The sequence below is a fragment of the Homo sapiens genome, chromosome 3 (assembly GCF_000001405.40).
Source record: "Homo sapiens chromosome 3, GRCh38.p14 Primary Assembly".
In the NCBI taxonomy this organism is placed as follows: domain Eukaryota; kingdom Metazoa; phylum Chordata; class Mammalia; order Primates; family Hominidae; genus Homo; species Homo sapiens.
The window spans coordinates 157,456,151-157,474,907 of record NC_000003.12 but is presented as its reverse complement, the minus strand read 5'-3'; the positions used below and the strand labels follow the sequence as shown (position 1 = coordinate 157,474,907).

Here is an 18,757-nt window from a genome sequence, read left to right as displayed (position 1 = left end):
CAAATTAAAGCAAATCATTTTGATGTTTACCACAAAACCATATCACATATTCAAACCTAATATATAGGCTATTTCTTTTTTTTTTTAACACCATGCCAAATTAACAGATAAAGCACAGGAAATAATCGTTTGACACAGAAAATCAATGCTGAGTCAAAACTAATCCTCTTTGCTTAAAATTGTGAGAGTTTGCCCACTCATTTGCTAAGGCAGGGCCCTCTGTTCTCAAATGAAGACCTGTGAAGTCTACATGTAGCTCCACCATGCTTAAATTGTTGATTATGATAAAATGGTTTGGACCCAGACGATGATCAAGGACTTCTGTATACTCTATGTACTAGGCATATTTTTTACTATTAAGAATCGTTGAATGATGCTACTAAATTATTTCCTAGAAAGTTACAGAAAGAGAGTTAACAACCACTCACTTGATACAATATAGGTTGTAAAATAAATTTTAAAAATAAGAATAAAATAGGCAAATGATATGAGGTAAATGTAAACCAAAAGGAACAGGGATCATGTTCTTTAGTCAGATAAGAAAAAATTCATGCCAGAAGCATTCAGTAAAATAAAGGCACTTTGTTTTTTTAATGGATTTAGTTCACAAGAGTTATAAAGATTAAGAATATCTTTATGTTAAATTACATAGCAATAAAATTCATAAAGAAAAACTCCAGGAGATACCAGTAAAAGCAGATAGACACATTAGTTGCAGGAAATGTTAATTCACTTCTGTTGAGCCACTGTAAGGTCAAATAATAAGTAAGATTATAGAGAGCTTAAATCTTCCAAAATCCTTTATGGACTTAGCATAAAATTGATACGAAACCTGACAAACATAAGACCAAATATTGACGCAAAAAAATTTAAATGAAATACTAAAAACAGAATTTAGCAGCACCTTAAAAAATTATTTCCCAAGATCCAGTACAACATGTTCCAGGAATGCAAAGTTAACTAATATTGGGAAATTTGTTTCTGTAATTTATCATATTGATAGATCTAAGGACAAAAATATTTGATGTACCTATAAATGCTAAAAAGGCATTTAATGAAATTCACAATTTATTCTTTATTTAAAAATAAACTCAATAAATAGCAATAGACTGATACCTCTTTAATATTGTAAATTATAATATTATAAAATCTCTCACCCAAAAAGCCAGCATAATGCTTACTAGGGAAATTAAATCAAATATGTAAACCTTGAAAATAGAAAGTGATGTATTCTATATGATTTAAAACATTTACTGTATTTTTTTGTTTGTTTTTCTGGACCATAAAATTTTATGCCAAAAATCAAGAATCAAAACTAGGAACTAAGCTAGCATTCTTGTTCTAATCACTTTTATGTGAAATAGCATAGAAGATTCTAGCCAACATAATAAGCCATGGGATATATAAAATATATAGATCTCAGAAAGGCTGCATGAAACACAAAAATCTTTTTAGAAAACCCAAGATGATGAATTGAAAATTTATCATAATTAAGTGTAGTTAAGCTAAAGAGCAAGTTACAAAATAAATACAAAAAGCACGACATGGTGGCTCATGCTTGTAATCCCAGCACTTTGGGAGGCCAAGGCAGGCAGATCACGAGGTCAGGGGATTGAGACCATCCTGACTAACATGGTGAAACCCTGTCTCTACTAAAAATCCAAAAAATTAGCCGGGCGTGGTGGCATGCTCCTATAGTCCCAGCTACTCCAGAGGCTGAGGCAGGAGAATTGCTTGAACCCCAGAGGCGGAAGTGGCAGTGACCTGAGATCGCACCACTGCACTCCAGCCTGGGTGACAGAGTGAGACTCCATCAAAAAAAAAAAAAAAAAAAAAAAAAGGTTCATTTAATCAGCAAAAACTAATTAAAAGTTCTAATGAGAAAAAATATTTTGTTAACAACAACAAAAAGACAAAATACACTAGGAAACATGGTCAAAAATTTGTGAAGCTCAATAGCAAAGACATGGAGTCAACCTAAATGCCCATCAATGGTACACTGGATAAAGAAAATATGGTATATATACAGCATGGAATATTACACAACCGTAAAAAAGAGCAAGATCATGTTATTTGTAGGAACATGGAGTTGGAGGCCATTATCCTTAGCAGATTAATGCAGGAACAGAAAAACAAATACTGTGTGTTGTCACTTTAAGTGGGAGCTAAATGATAAGAACACATGGACACACAGAGGGGAACAACACACACTGGGGCCTATCAGTGGTTAGATGGTGGGAGGAAGGAGAGAATCAGAAAAAATAACGAATGGGTACTAGGCATGATACTTGAGTGACAAAGTAATCTGTATAACAAACTCCCATGACACGAGTTTACCTAAATAACAAACTTGCACATGTACCCCTGAACTTAAAATAAAAGTTAAAAAAAAATTCTGAAGCTTACATAGGGAAAGTTGCAAAATTAGTATTGTAAAAGAATTGAGAAATGGCAGACAGAAAAGACAGCCCTGAAATAGAATCTGATATATTTAAAACAATTACTAGGAAATGAATTATTCACTAAATGGTAGTAGGAAGATTAGGTTAGCTATTTAGAAGAAAATGTACATTTCTACTTATTTCCATAAATACCAGATAGATTTAAGAGCTAAGCAAATGGTTAAAAGATGAATTTCTAAAGTAATAAATGGTGAGTGTTTTGTGAAGTTCTTTTTAATCTGGAAAAAAGTAGAGATGATTTTTATTCAAATTTTGAATAAGGAAAACTTGAAGTTAAACAAAAATCTGTTACAGGAATCACACAGAAAGAAAGGAGAATGTGTGGATAATATCTGCATGTGCTTAGAATGCCTCTGTATAAACATAAGGATTTGCTGAGCCTGGCTCCCGCTGAGGAAGGGGACTGGGACGGATGAGGAACAGCGCTGACAGGGAGATTAACTTTTAACTGTAAACCCTTTCTTTGCATCTTTTGAATTTTTGTACGATGTTTATGTATTACCTTTCAAAAAAATGTAAACAACTTAAGTTTCCAATTTAGAAAAGGAAAAACAATAAGGCCCCAAAATTGACAAATTTAATTACCTAAAATCTTAGGATGTCATTGAATAGCAGCAAAAAAACTAAAAATAATGAAACGTAGAGATATATTTGCAGCCAAATGTCAAATATTCACTTAATACCCTTAATAGAAAAATATATTGTACCAAAGAAGGATTAAAAAAAAAAAAGATGAGGTCACCTAAAGAAAAATATATATAAGGTACCGTGGGTAGTTCCCAAAGGAGAAAATACAAACAGCCAATAAACACAGAACCATTCAACCTCACTTTTGGGCAAGGAAATTCCTAAGCAAAACAGCGATAAGATACTGTTTCTCACTAATCAAATTAGAAATATTATAAATACTCTGTTCTTGTAAGTGTACAATAAGGAGATCATTCTATTACCCAGCTGGAGGGAGTTCACATTCGTAAAACCTTTCTGGAACATAGTTCAACAGTACCTATTTTGAGCCTTAAAAATGTGCCTGTCCTTTGTCTCAGAAATTTTCACTTCTGGAGGCTCTAGTATATAAATAATTTGCAATGTAGAGAGAGCTTCATGCACAAGATGTTTACTGTCCTATTAGTTATAGCAACAGAAAATTGTTACAGCTGGAGTTTGCTGTAGTGCCGAAAAACCCCATCACTTCCCATCTCTAATCTCACATGATGATGTCAGGCTCTAAATACTTTCCTGCTCTATTATATTTTCAGTTTTGTGAGTCCACCATGTGAAGTTCACAGTCAGACCAATTATCCAAATTAATGCAGTGGGTCTGTTTTTCACATTTAGATGTTTTGGAGGTCCCATTATTTCTCAGTAAAGATGATCAGGTATTTGAGGGAGAATTAAGACAGGGGAATGGAGGAAAACCTGGTTGGGGAAAGGTAAAATGGGTTTTGTAGTTATTTGAGTTGAAAAGGGAGAGATGAAATGATGTGTTCCATTATGTCCAGAAAGAGGGAGAAAACTAATGAGGGGAAATTGAAGGGTAATTTGAAACATTTCACAAAAGTTGCTGAAATGTCAGAGTAAAAAGTAACCCCTGCCCTGTAATGGACTTAGAAACTGAAATAGTCTAAAGATTAAACCCACTTGCAAGTGAATAGTTAAGCGCCTGTGTACTCTCAGGGATCCCTGTCTAAGGGTGATAGTAGAACCTGCTCCATTTTAGCATGTTTGTGTATCTGCCTCTTCCACAAGATTAGGATCTCCAAGGAAGGAAGCCTTTATTGTATTAGGCTTTACACCCTCACCCCTTAGCACACAGCCTGGTGCACCCATTTTCTAAATGACTGAGTTAGTATTTTGTCCTTTGAAGGATAACTTTCTAGAGTATTATTTAACATGAAGATTTTCTTTCCAAACAGGATTACCAAACCAATAACAATGACCAGGCAGTAGTTGAAATCTGTATCACAAGAATCACAACAGCCATCAGAGAGACCGAGTCCATTGAAAAGCATGCAAAGGCCCTTGTGGGGCTCTGGGACTCCTGCTTGGAACATAACCTGAGACCCTTTGGGAAAGACGAAGACACTCCTCATGCAAAAATCGCATCTGATATCATGAGTTGCATTTTACAGGTATGTCAGTGTTCAACATCAGGCTATTTGATACTGAGTTGGCAGCCTAGGTGAACCTGTGATGTCTGTGAACCAAGAGCCAATGCTTCTGCAGCATTTAGATACTGTAAAAAGACACTACAAGCCATCAATAGCTGGGAGGGCCGGTAATTAATAAACTGAGAAAGTTCTGTAGAGCTCCTGCTACGTGCAAGACACACTGTAGGGAATTCAAGTAATACCACTGCAAGCCTCTAATCTGTTTGGAGAGTATACATATAAAAAGTTAACAAGAAAGCAATATGTGCCAAGACCCACAGGAGGAGTACTAAAAAATTCAGAAGAGGAGATCTCTTTCATCCAAGGAGAACACAGTAGAAGCAGAAAATGAACTGAGGGGCAGTGCGCTCGGGACCTAGCAGGGAAAGTGACTAAGTCATTTCAGACATATTTCTATATGTATTGAGAATTTTTCATGATGATATTTGCCCGTTCTGACCACAGTTAATTATTTCCTCTGGTATAAATGTGAATTTGGAGTTTTGGCTCAGCCGCTAATGAGTTGTGTAACACTGCGATATTGGGCAAGTCACTTACATTCTTAAGCCACAGGGTCCTCTATGTGAAATGCACATTAAATGACATTGTCTATGACAAATTTACCAACCAGAGATGTTGATAGGTGTTTCTCAGAAAAGAACTTTGTGATGAAATAAGTTGGAAAACAATTCTTTTTTCCCTTTTGAATGATCACAATGTTTCATGGCATACTAAAGGTTCTGTAAAGTACTGCAATAAAGAAAGCTGGTTAACCTTGTTTAGGCCAGCATTTTCCAGTCTGATTTCACTATGAAACCTCCTTTCTCCTCCCCACTCCCAACACAACACTATGAACATCCCTCAGAACCTGTGTTCCACTGAGCACAGGTCAGGAAATTCTGATTATGTTAAAATGCTTAGCAGTGCATGTTGCAGCTGATATGAGCGTCCTTTATTCTTCTTCCTTTTTTTCCCACAGTTGTTTATGATTAACTGGATCATATTTTACCTTGTCTGCTCAGTCTAGGAATTGATCAACTGAACAAAAGACTCTTCATGCACCACCACACTGTATCTCTTTCATCCCCAGGGTTAAGGGTTGGTGGGGAGAAAATGAGGATTGCAGCAAAATTAACAAAAGATGAATAGTGCTTGATGGAACACCAAAGACCCAGTGCATTTGCTCTTCATTGGTTATCTTGGTATATTATTGATATATATCAGAAACATAGATTATTTCACTCCAATGTGCACTTTAACAGACATTCAGACAATTTAACCATCCTATCCATCTCCCCCTGCAGGTTCAAAACCACTCGTCTTTAGGGCAGCACTATCGAATAGAAATCTAATGCAAGCCACAAACAGAAGTCAAATATGTAATTTTAAATGTTCTCGTCCCAGGGTGAGTGGGGGAACAAAGGTGAAGAGGGAGAAAAAGAATACGAATATATTTATTACCACTGAACTGTACACTTAAAAATTGCAAAGATGGTAAATTATATATGTATATTTTATCTCAATTAAAAAATTAAAAAGGAAAAAAATTCTAGTAGCCACTTACGTAAAAAGAAAGATGAAATTGATTTTGATAATATATTTCTTCAACCCATTATATCCAAAATAGTATCACTTCAACATGCAATCAATATAGCAATTTTTAAAATTTATTTATTTACTATTATTATTGTTGTTATTATCATTATTATTATTATTATTTTGAGATGGAGTCTCGCTCTGTCGCCCAGGCTGGAGTGCAGTGGCGTGATCTCGGCTCACTGCAACCTCCGCCTCCCGGGTTCAAGTGATTCTCCTGCCTCAGCCTCCTGAGTAGCTGAGACTACAGGTGCCTGCCACCACACGTGGCTAATTTTTGTATATTTTTAGTAGAGAAGGGGTTTCACCATATTGGCCAGCCTGGCCTTGAACTCCTGACCTTGTGATTCACCATTTTTTTTACACAATTCTTACATATCTGATGTGCATTTTAGTGCATCACTAAATGGACTAGTCACACTTCAGATGTTCAAGAGCATCCCATGGTCAGTGGCTCCTGTGTTAACACAGTTTTAGAGTAATCAGATAAAGTTTTCTGGGTGAAGATCATGTTTGGAAGGTTTATGAGCAGTGAGCAGGAATTTCACTAGATAGGCTAAGTAGAGTGAGAAGACAGTCTACACAGGAAAACAGCTTGTGCAAAAGTACAGATTTGTGAAATAAGACCAAGATCAGAGAATCGTAAGCATGCTACCTTTCTCAAATGCCCATAATTCTAACATTTATGTTAGATGGGATGTTTTATTCTGAGTAAAGCATTGTGTCTCCTACTTAAAAGGGATGGGGTATGGTGTAAGGAATTAAATGTTTTTGAGAAATTGAAATGCTCAACTCATTGATGATCAAGACAGTGTAAATGAGTTTGTAAGATTGTAGAGAGCAGGGTTCTGAGGTCAAGGGTTGATATTTTGGGAAGCGAAAGAGAAAAGGACTGAAGGCTAGTAGGCTCCTTGGTTAAGAGGGACAAGTTAGGCAGAGAAGTGGGTAAGTCTAGCATGTAGGGCCGGTGTAGGGATGGGGTGTCCATTGTAGGCCCTCAGAAGGAGGCAGAAGCCACTAAAATGGAAAGCCTGAAGGCCTAAAGGCAAACTTGCTTTCAGCAAAGTTCAGCATCTTGTCCTGGCCACCCCTGGAGGTCCCAGAAATGCAGCACCAGGAACTAAAGGCAAACCTGGGGTCATAGCATTTATATTTAGCTATCATCAGATTTTAAAGGGAAATTTTTGGCTTGCAGTAAACATTGAAAGGATGATTTTGGTATTACTTGTAATTTAGGATCCTGTGGGGAACGTGTAGAAATCCAAATGACTCATTTTCTTCTATTTTTTTTTTCAGTAAAATGAAACAATAGGCCAACTTTCAAAAGTTAGACACTCAGCATTTTTAGCTTTACACAAAATGGAAGGAAAACAAACAACAAGAAATGAGTGATTGCCTCTCCACCCATCCCATCTCCCCAGATAAGCAACCCAGGGTCTTACTGTCTGATCAGGCAGAGGCCCAGTCATTTCTTCTTCCTGCACCCTTGGCCATTTCATTTGATTTTTTTTTTTCTGGCCACTTCACTGTCATTTTAAGCTAAATGTGTACACACACACACACACACACACACATACACACACACACACTTTTCTTTTTGTCCCCCAGATTTCCTCTTGTCGGCCTACGCTCAAACCTACTTCAGGTGACCATTCCTTTTCCTCTTTTAGTTGGTAATTATACTTCTTTTCTTGGTCCCTAAATTTGTGAACTTGCCACATTTACCTTAAAATAACTTTTAAAAATTCCAGAACTCACCTTCTACTGATTTTGTATTGAGGAAACTCAATACAAAATCGGTACATATATGGGACATGCACTTGTGAATTTGTTTTTTGGCCTTGGGCCATATGTTTCTACACATCCTGTGTCATTAGACAAGTCTCTCAACTTATGTGTAAAATAGAGAATTGAATCAGATCACCTTCCATGTCATCTCCCAGTCTGAAATTTTGACTCCCTGAGGAGACTCTAAGAATAGAATAGCAAAGAGCTTTAGAGCTTGAAGGCTTCCGTGTCATTTGGATCTTGGTCTTATCAAGATGAGAGATTGGCAAAGTATTTTCTCTCTCTAAATCTCTGTTCTGCCATCTCTAAAATTGGGATAACAACACCTCCTGCTCGGGACTATTATGAAAGTTAAAAATGATATTACATATACGGTGTTTACACAGTACAATTGCTAAATAGTAAGTACTCAATAGAAGTAGTGGTTTGTAGCTAGCAAATTAATCCAGTCTTGCAGGGCAACGAAAATGAGCATCCAGCTGGTTCCATTCAAGACATCAAACTACTGGAGTTTAGTACTTCCAATTGGTGGTGGTAGGTGCACATGAAGAGGATCTTTTATTACAAAAGCGATCTCTATCTGTGCTCTAGCCACTATGTGGAAGTACCTAATTCAAAGTACAGCTTACCTAGAGTTAACAGCTTCCTCTAACCCTCTGACCAGATATCTATATGGAGTTGGCCATCCCCACCCCCCCACTTTTTTTTGCTCCTAGAAAAATCCTAAAAAAGAATACACCCATACAATGTGTATTACGTTCTAGGATAAAAACAAACTTGGCAAACTTGATTAAAATTAAAACGTACCTCAAGGACATTATAATTATTGACATAGCTGCTGTTCTAGAATGAAGTTCTAGAGAATTGAAAGTTCAGCCATCATGAAGCCTGGCAGCCAATGCCTGGCTTTATCCTCACTCTACTGCAGTCACAGCCTCTTCCCAAGCCAAATCACTTAGCAGAGCCATTGCCATGTATTTAATCAGCTCCACATTTCATCTTCCCCCAATCTCTGCTACCACTGTTGATGACTGCATGAAGAGGGAAATAACCAAAGCAGGCTGCCTGCAGGGTAACAGGGGTAATAGAATAATCTCCAGATCTGCTGCTGGAAAATCAGAAAGTGTCTACTTTTCCCTCTTTATAGAAGGACCTGCTGTTCCTTCTCCTTGATGCCGCACAGTCTTCTCAGTTCTTCTTCCCCAGTCAATGTAATATGAAGGTTTAAACTCTGCCCTTGCTAGTGTTGCATGTGAAGTGCCTCAGACAGTGGAGAGCATTTCCTTCACAACTCTTAGAGATGGGACTGGTTATGCCAATCTAGCAGTTTATTCAGTAGGCAATCCCAGCTCTGCTCTGTACCTGTAGTGTGGTCTTGGGAAAATTAATCTTTCCAGGCCTTAATTGTCTCATATGTAAAATGCAGATATTAAGAGGAGCTGCCTCATGAGTTTGCTGTGAAAATTAAATTAATAGACTTTAATAGACAAAATATTTAGAACATAGGAAGTTGGTATCATCATCATTATCATTATCTGCAGGAGACTAAAATAACACTGGATGCTTTCTAACAAGCTATTGATTTAATTATGTGTTATAGCCACTTTTTAAATATCCTGTCTCTCCTTTCCCCAAATTATAAGCTCTTCTATTCACTGAAGTAATCCCAGCACGTAGAATAGTGCCTGGCATATAGTAGGTGCTCAAATAATATTTGTTGAATGGTTGAGTGAAGGGGCTCAGGAGACGTGGCTGCCCTCTGACTTTCACAGCAGCTACATTTCTCTCCAGAATAGGCTTCAGTATCTAATGCTCATATAGTGGCAGGAAATGGGAGGGGACTGGGATGTACACTCCCAGGTTCCTGAGACCTGCTCCCTATTACCTGTCAGAAAATTCACTGGGGAAACTTAGCTTGTGTGCCAATTAGATTTTACATATAGCTATGCTGGGAAGAATGAACCATTTTATATGTAAATCCAAAATTGGTTTAGCTTTGATTGATAATAGTGAATGAATAATCAAGGAACCCTATTTTAATAAATGAGGTTTAATATTTCTTGAGCTTAATCATTTTTTATGGTTCTTACTTGAATTCAAGGCCTAAGAGCCAAAGAGCTTTTTAGTTGCTATTACCTCAGATAGATATCTTTCCTACTTAGCTTCATTCTTTTCAATTTTAAAACACTGGGGAACATTCCCAAAGTGCATTTTCAAAAACACAATTTCCACCAAAAGTTCAAATTGGTGCTAATCTAGTTTAGAAATATAATTCTTGGCATCCGTAGAACAAAGCTCTCTTGTTTAACCTCTACAGCTAAATTGTCCCCACGAGAAAGTCTATTTCTATGCTGCACTTCGCTGAATTTGTTCCCTCAGCACCAAACTGTAAGATGATATTCATCCAACATGCTCACATCTGCACTGAGAAGCAAGGTCTTTCATAGGCTCTGGCATTATCAGCTGCTGTTAAAGTCATTTGTTTGTAGAACTGTAATCATAGGGCTTTCTCTGCATGCATGCCATTAGCATTTCTGTGACCCAAATAATTCCAGAGATGAAATAGTTTCATGGGCCTGAGATCTCCTCCTTTACCAACTCCTTTTGCTGCCCTTGAAAGTGAAGCTCAGCCACTGGATGTTGTTTGGTACCTGTTAGGTCCATGGGACCCTCGAACCCAAGAAAATGCAACCCAAGAAATTGCATAGGTGAGACTGAGATGTTTGGGGAATACCCAATGCTCTAATAAGTAACTTTTTTGAATGTAAGTCAAGGGAGCAGGGACAGGATATGATCATAATTGAGAAAAATGACCAAATCAATTAGCTTTTCTAAACACCACATGTTTGATCAGTATGTTAACAAAAAGAGGATGCTCAATGTTGTGTCATTATTTTGGCATGTTTGTCCAGCACCACTAGGAAAAATACTGGATCTGATGAATGGAAACTTCCAATGAGCAGAGAAAGGGATTCAGTTATAGGGCAGGAGTGTTCTTTTAATCAGGTTTCACCGTGGTCTACCTGAAATATCCCTCAGGATCTCTCTCTGCTCTGACCTGATTTTGTGCCCATGAGTGGACACTCTAGTTTCTAATCTGTCTCCTAGGTATCCTGAAAATGTGAAAGGGATACCCTAAGTCTGACCTATGAAAGCCTCTCACTGGGGTTGAGTGCACTGGCATGCCTGGTTATGTACCAGCCTTTTGGAAATCCTTTGGTGTGAGTTAGCCTTAGTGGGTCCAAACAATTTTGTGTGTTCCAACCAAGCACGTGCCCTGACTTCTAAAGCTGAGCACTAACCTCTGGGGAAGGGAGCAGCCAGCCTCTCAGAGAGGTCTCAAAGCTCATCGTATCAGTAATGATCCAGTCAGATCAGGCCCAATTAAATTCACTGGGAGGGGAGACAATCTAGACAAAGGCATTCAGGGAAGTCGTCAGAGGATACTGGCTATGGGCTATGGTTCTGATACTTCCGTGATGTTAAGAACTCTAGGATGGATAGGCCAGAGACCTACTGAGAGGAACTGCTATATAGACGCATGATTTATCGCCAAAGAATAGCATCAGAGCTTTCAACACGACTGACTTAATAGTGGGATATCAGGTTAGGTTATGGAGTACCTATTTTCTCTGCCCAGTGGTCAGATTGACCCCTGAGTCTGGAAAATGGATGGAACTGCAGGAATGGATTAAAGATTTATCAGTTCTGTTTTTGTTTCTAGTGACTGGGGAGGCAGGGATGCTTAAGTGCAAGATATTTAATTGGCTCATTTAGAAATCTTTAGGAATATAACTGGCCTCAGGCACAGCCTAAGGCATTGGGCTCAAATGATATTACCAGGATCTGGTCTCTCAGATAGAACCATGTTTCCTTGAGTCTCATACAGTTTCTCTCCTACTGAGGTCACAAGATGACAGCAACTACTTTTGATCCTCCCTTCTCAATACTTTAAATACAGCAGGAGAGAGAATCTCTTTCACAGAGCCATTTTATGGCTCCTTAATTATAATTTGGTAACGTGTCCTTCCTTGAACCAGGGAAATGTGATTCTCTCATTGATCAGTGTCTGAGTCACTTGATCACCTTTAAGACAAAAGGTAGAGATGCCTTCATTAGAAGCACCTGGACAGTTCCACAGAGGAATTAGGGTAGAGTCTCCAGAAGAAGTATAAATGTATATTGGGCAGGAGTGTAAAAGGCTGATGATATGAAGATCAGAGAAAAATCATAGAATGTTATTTTCTGTGACTTCAGGAAAGATTTATGGACTGGATATCAAGATATGAATGCTATCACTCCCAAAACTCATTAGCTCTTTAAGGAACATACATTTGAGTGCCTTACATATCCCATAATATTTATTTTACCTGATTCCCATACTTAGTGTGAATAGACAAGTCATCTTCCTGACACTGTCACCACCGTTTTTATATTCTTGGCTGCATTGACTCCACCACTGTGTGTCGTTGTCCTTCGTAGAACCCTAAGACAAAGGTTGTTTATAAAATGCATGCATACAATATGCAATTCTGTATTCATACTAACTTTTGCATCTATTTAAAAGAATAGCTAAAATCTGTAATTATATAACTGTGCTTCTTCTTCAGAAAAGAGGTCATATCATATCTTGATGAATTCTCTCCAAATACAACCCTGTAATCAGAACCCAGAGCAAAATTAAAAATTAATGAAATTGAGCATATTTTCATGTTTTGGAGCTTTATTTTGTAACGTGTCTGTTTAAGTCCTCTGTCTACTTTTCTGTTTGATTGCATCTTCTTTTTCTTATGGATTGGAAGAGTGTGTATATATATTATATATATATAAATAATACTTTTATATTTATAATATATATTATATATATAAAATACATTTATCCAAAGGTTTACCAGTACCCAGAACATATTATAGATATCTTCTTTCACTCTTTGGATTATCTTTTCACTTTTTAAATGATATCTCTTGATGACTAGAAGTTCTTGATTTTATCCACTTTATGACTTTTTTATTGTTAATTATTTTTGAGTTAGGTTTAAGGAAGTCCTTGCCTACTCTGAGGCCATCGAGATGTTCTCCTGGGTTGTCTTCTCTGTCTTGTTTTATTTTTCACCTTTAGATCTGCAATCTATCTGAAATTGATTTTAGTTATGGCAGATATAGGGGTGGGGATATGTTTTTTCCCCATGTAAATATCTAATTGACCCAATTGCCCCATTTCTATTGCTCAGGAATTGTATGTATCAATGACAATTTTTATCTCATGTCTTTTCTTTTGTCCTTATTGTAAGATTTGATGTATAAAGGTGGAGTTCTACATTTCATTCTAAGAATATAGTTTTCTCTTTAAGCCACAGGGAAAGTTAAAGAATGTAAGTGGTCCTGGCTTTGCATTGTATTAATCAGGGTACAAGCTCAGCTACAAAACAAAGATCTGAATATAACAGTGGGACAAGCAACACAGAACTTTGTCTGTCATCAAATAATGCAAGAGTAGGAGTCCAGGGCTATTTCTCCCAAACACGCTGTGCACTGCACAGTTTTTTTTTCTACAGTTAGTCTGAGAGGTGGGGTTGATGGCCAGGTGTAGTGAATATGTACCATTCATTTTTAAGAAAACAATTTGTTGACCAAAACATTATGTGGTAGAAAAAAAAAGAAAGCAATTTGTATTTTCTAAATATTATTCCCTAATTTGGTAACTAAATGCTAATAGGACTACTTTATATGTAAGGATATTTATATTCAGTCACAAAGTAAATCAAGAAGAGAATTATTTTAGGATCCAGAATACCTTTAGGTTTTAATCTTACATTCATTTATTTTTTTTCCTCTGAATCTAATTAGCTGAAACTTTAATTTTTAAGATAGATATAGGCAAAAAGCGACTTGTTCAACATTCCTTAGGTTTTTTTCTCAAGTGTAAATCTGACAAGTGATTCCTGTTATCAGTGGCCCCCGATTACCCTAAAGATCAATGCCAAACTTCTTAGCCTTGTATGCCGGACCTTTCATAATCATGCCCCTGTTTACCTGCCCCGTCTCTCCCCTCACCTCCCACTCCAGTTTTCTCACACATACCACACTTCAGCCATCCTGAGCTATTTACAACTCTCCAGTGCCATCAGGTACTCCCTCACCTCAGTCTCTGCATACCTACTCTTCCTTCTTTCTGTCTACTCCCTGCCTTGCCAGCACCCAGCCATCTCTTATTCATCCATGAGGTCCCAACTAAGACATTACCCCCTCCAGGAAGTCTTTCTTGACATTCCCCAAGACTGGATTGAGTGCTCCTTCTCTGCTCTGTTAGCACCCTGCCTTTTGCCCATCTCGGCTGTCATCAGTTTATGCTGTTAACTGCCTGTTTGTCTTTAGGTCTCTTAAACAAAACCAAGAGTTCCCAGAATTCCCAAATACAATATAAACAGGGCAAGGCCTGTGTTTTCACAGCTGTACTCTGGTAGCTTAATCCAATAAATATTTTTTGAATGAGTGAATGAATGAATAAATGAATAATGAGTCACTTATTATTTGTGGCTTTCTTATATTTCCTCAGAATTACAACCGACCCCCAGTGATGGCATTAGCCATCCCCATTGCAGTGAAATTCCTCCACAGAGGCAACAAGGAACTGTGCAGGAATATGTCTAACTACCTGTCTCTGGCTGCAATTACCAAGGCAGATCTCCTGGCTGATCACACGGAAGTTATAGTAAAGAGCATACTCCAAGGTATGGTGCGAAAGTTGAGCTTGGGGACATGTTTTGGGAGATATTTAAAAGTATTTTCATCAAGCATTTATGGTTTGTGGGAAGCAAGACCTAGAGTATTAGAAGCAAATTAATTTCTCTGTTTTGCTGCCAGTTGACCTGTGAACATGCAAAAGGTTACTTAATCTGGCTGTCTGTGTCCCTTCCCAAGGCAGATGAATTACTTAGACTCATTAAAAGAATTGTAAGCATTCTTCCAAATCTGTGTTTCTCAGTTTGAAGAACTGCATTTCCGTGCTTCTGGTCACCTGTTCAACTACCAACTGTGGAGATCTTATCTCTGTGTACTGAGTGGAACACGTCACTCAGTGGGGTATGAAAAACCTGTCTTCATTTGCTTCCAAAAGCAAGAAATGTCTTTTGTTAGATAAAATACATCAGAAAATGTGTAATGACTTCTTAAATGTGAACATGATTTGGATAACAAGCATAAATACTAGCATAAAAAGCCAAATAGTACACCTCTGTTAATTGTTACAACATTTGAATGAATAAGAAGCTCAAATTAGTTCATGCAAAATATTCTCCTTGTCTTCTTTTATTTTCTTTGGTTTCAGATCAATCAAAAAACATGTTTTTGAACTTGAAGTCAGAGAACAATACATGATATTAATTGATGTGCATCCAAATGTCCCCATTTCTCATTAATAAAGATGCATGAGGCCCATGAGTATCTCAGCCCACAGTTTACTGCCATAACCCACCACATGATAAGGTTGATCGTCAACCCTCTGTAAAGTGCTCACAGTCCAATTAATTCTTAGGGTCCCCAAGGGTGTCCTATGTGTGCTCTCTTCCCAAGGTATCCAGACCAATCCCCAAGCCCATACTGCTATTTTGTCCATGCTTCCTGGCATAGCATGGTGGGGTGCTGTCCTCTTCCACCATGCGAGCCCAGCAGACCCTAAGGCCACTGCCATGCAGGTCCCAGGAATGGACTCCACTCCTGGGAACTCCGTGCTGCCCTGCCAGTGATGGCAGTCTTTGTGCTGAACCACTGGAAGCTTTAGGAACAACCAAGTCCTTAGCCCAGTAATTCAGTGTGGCAGCCTGTGGCAGGATGGGAAAGAACACTAGCCTTTCTCCTCAGTGTTATACCTTGGTAGAGAGGCCCCAGAGCAGTGCCAAACTGAGTTGCCATGTTTGCAGTAACATAGATGGTTTTTCAGTAGAACAGAATAGAGAACCCAGAAATAAAGCTGCACACCTAGAGCCACCATCTGATCTTTGACAAATTCAACAAAAATAATCAGTGGGGGAAGGACTCCCTATTCAACAAATGGTGCTAGGATAACTGGGTATCTATATGCAGAGGAATAAAACTGGACAACTATCACCATATACAAAAATTAACTCAAAATGGATTAAAGACCTAAATGCAAGACCTCAAACTATAAAAGTCCTCAAGGAAAATCTAGGAAATACCCTTCTTGACAATAGCCTTGGCAATAAATTTATGGCTAAGTCCTTAAAACCAATTATGACAAAAACAAAAACTGACAAGTGGGACCTAATTGAATTAGAGAGCTTCTAGACAGCAGAAGAAATTATCAACAGAGTCAACAGACAACCTACAGAATGGGAGAAAATTTTTGCAAACTATGCATCTGAAAAAGGTCTAATATCCAGAATCTATAAGGAACTTAAGCAATTCAACAAGCAAGAAACAAATAGCCCCATTAAAAAGTGCAAATCAAAAAGTTAGAAAGATCTCAATTTAACAACCTAACAGCATAACTAAAAGAACTAGAGAACCAAGAGGAAACCAAGTCCAAAGCTAGCAGAAGGCAAGAAATAACCAAAATCAGAGCTGAGCTGAAGGCGATTAAGACACAAATAAATTTAAAAGATCAACAAATCCAGGAGCTAGCTAGACTAATAAAGAAGGTAATAGAGAAGCTCCAAATAAACACAACCAGAAACAACAAGGTGATATTACTATTGACCCCACAGAAATACAAACAACCATCAGAAGATATTATGAACACCTCTATACACATTAACTAGAAAATCTAGAGGAAACTAATAAATTCCTGGGCACATACACCCTTAAGACCTAACCAGTAAGAAATTGAATCCCTGAACAGACCAATAATGAGCTCTGAAATTGAATCAGTAATAAATAGTCTACCAATCACAATAAGCTTGGGACCAGACAGATTCACAGCTGAATTCTACCAGATATACAAAGAAGAGCTGGTACCATTCCTGCTGAAGCTATTCCAAAAAATTGAGGAGGAGAGACTCCTCCCTAACTCATTCTATAAGGCCACCATCATCCTGATACCAAAATCTGGCAGAGACACAACATAAAAAGAAAACTTCAAGGCAATATCCTTGAACACTGATGCAAAAACTCTCAACAAAATACTGGCAAAACAAATCCAGCAGCACATCAAAAAGCTTATCGATCATGATCAAGTAGGCTTTATCCCTGGGATGCAAGGTTGGTTGAACATATGCAAATCAATAAATGTGATTCATCACATAAACACAACTAAAGACAAATCCAATAGATGCAGATAAGGCTTTTGATAAAATTCAACACCGCTTCATGTTAAAAATTCCCAATAATCTAGGTATTGAAGAAGGATACCTCAAAATAGTAAGAGCCATCAATGGCAAACCCACAGCCAACATCATACTGAATGGGCAAAAGCTGGAAACATTACCACTGAAAACTGGCACAAGACAAGGACGCCCTCTCTCACCACTCCTATTCAACATAGTGTTGGAAATCCTGGCCAGAGCAATCATGAAAGAGAAAGAAATATAGCACATCCAAATAGGAAGAGAGGAAGTCAAACTATCCCTATTTGTAGATGACATGATCCTATATCTAGAAAATGCCATAGTCTCAACCCAAAAAGCTCCTTAAGCTGATAAACAACTTCAGCAAAGTCTCAGGATACAAAAATCAATGTACAAAAGTCACTAGCACTCCCACACACCACCAGTAGCCAAGCTGAGAGCCAAATCAGAAATGCAATCCCATTTACAAGTGCCACACACACATACAAATAAAATACCTAGGAATCCAGCTAACCAGGGAGTTGAAAGATCTCTATAAGGAGAACTACAAAACACTCCTCAAAGAAGTCAGAGATGACACAAACAAATGGAAAAATATTCTATACTCATGGATAGGAGGAAACAATATCATTAAAATGGCCATGCTGCCCAAAGTAATTTATAGATTCAATATTATTCCTATTAAATTACTAATGACATTCATCACAGAACTAGAAAAAATATTTTAAAATTCATATGGAACCAAAAAAGAGCCTGAATAGCCAAGGCAATCCTAAGCAAAAAGAACAAACCTGGAGGCATCACACTGTATTACTTCAAACTGACTTCAAATAGGGATATAGTAAGCAAAACAGCATGGTACGGGTACAAAAACACACGCATAGACCAATAGAACAGAATAGAGAACCAGAAATAAGGCTACACACCTACAACTATCTAATCTCTGAAAAAGCTGACAAAAACAAGCAATGGGCAAAAGACTACCTATTCAATAAAAGGTGCTGGAATAACTGCCTAGTCATATGCAGAAGATTAAAACTGGACCCCTTCTTTATACCACATACAAAAATTAACTCAAGATGGATTAAATACTTAAATGTAAAACCCAAAACTATAAAAACGCTGGAAGATAACCTAGGCAACACCATTCTGGACATAGGAATGTGCAAAAATTTCATGAAGAAGATACCAAAAGCAATTGCAACAAAGGCAACTGCAACAAGAGCAAAAATTGACAAATATGATCTAATTAAACTAAAGAGCTTCTGCACAGCAAAAGAAACTATCAACAGAGTGAACAATCTAGAGGATGAAAGGAAATATTTGCAAAGTATGCATCTGACAAAGGTCTAATATCCAACATCTATAAGAAACTTAAAGAAATTTACAAGAAAAAAATTACAAAGTGGGCAAAGGACATGAAAAGACACTTTTCAAAAGAAGACATACATGCAGCCAA

General features: G+C 37.6%; 1 protein-coding gene across 24 annotated transcripts in view; it reads left to right on the top strand.

The window, feature by feature from the left end:
* The window catches only part of VEPH1 (ventricular zone expressed PH domain containing 1), a 243,864-nt gene that overhangs the window by 28,698 nt on the left and 196,409 nt on the right, over positions 1-18,757 (top strand). For 18 of the 24 annotated variants that reach the window (XM_047448927.1, XM_047448922.1, XM_024453748.2 and 15 more), the window contains 2 exons: positions 4,379-4,594; positions 14,553-14,727. In XM_047448927.1, coding sequence (XP_047304883.1) covers positions 4,577-4,594; positions 14,553-14,727 — 193 coding nt within the window. In that variant the 5' untranslated portion in view covers positions 4,379-4,576. Of the gene's footprint in view, positions 1-4,378; positions 4,595-14,552; positions 15,434-18,757 lie in introns of those variants that run through there. The other 6 variants (XM_024453750.2, XM_024453749.2, XM_047448931.1 and 3 more) reach the window with 2 other exon arrangements.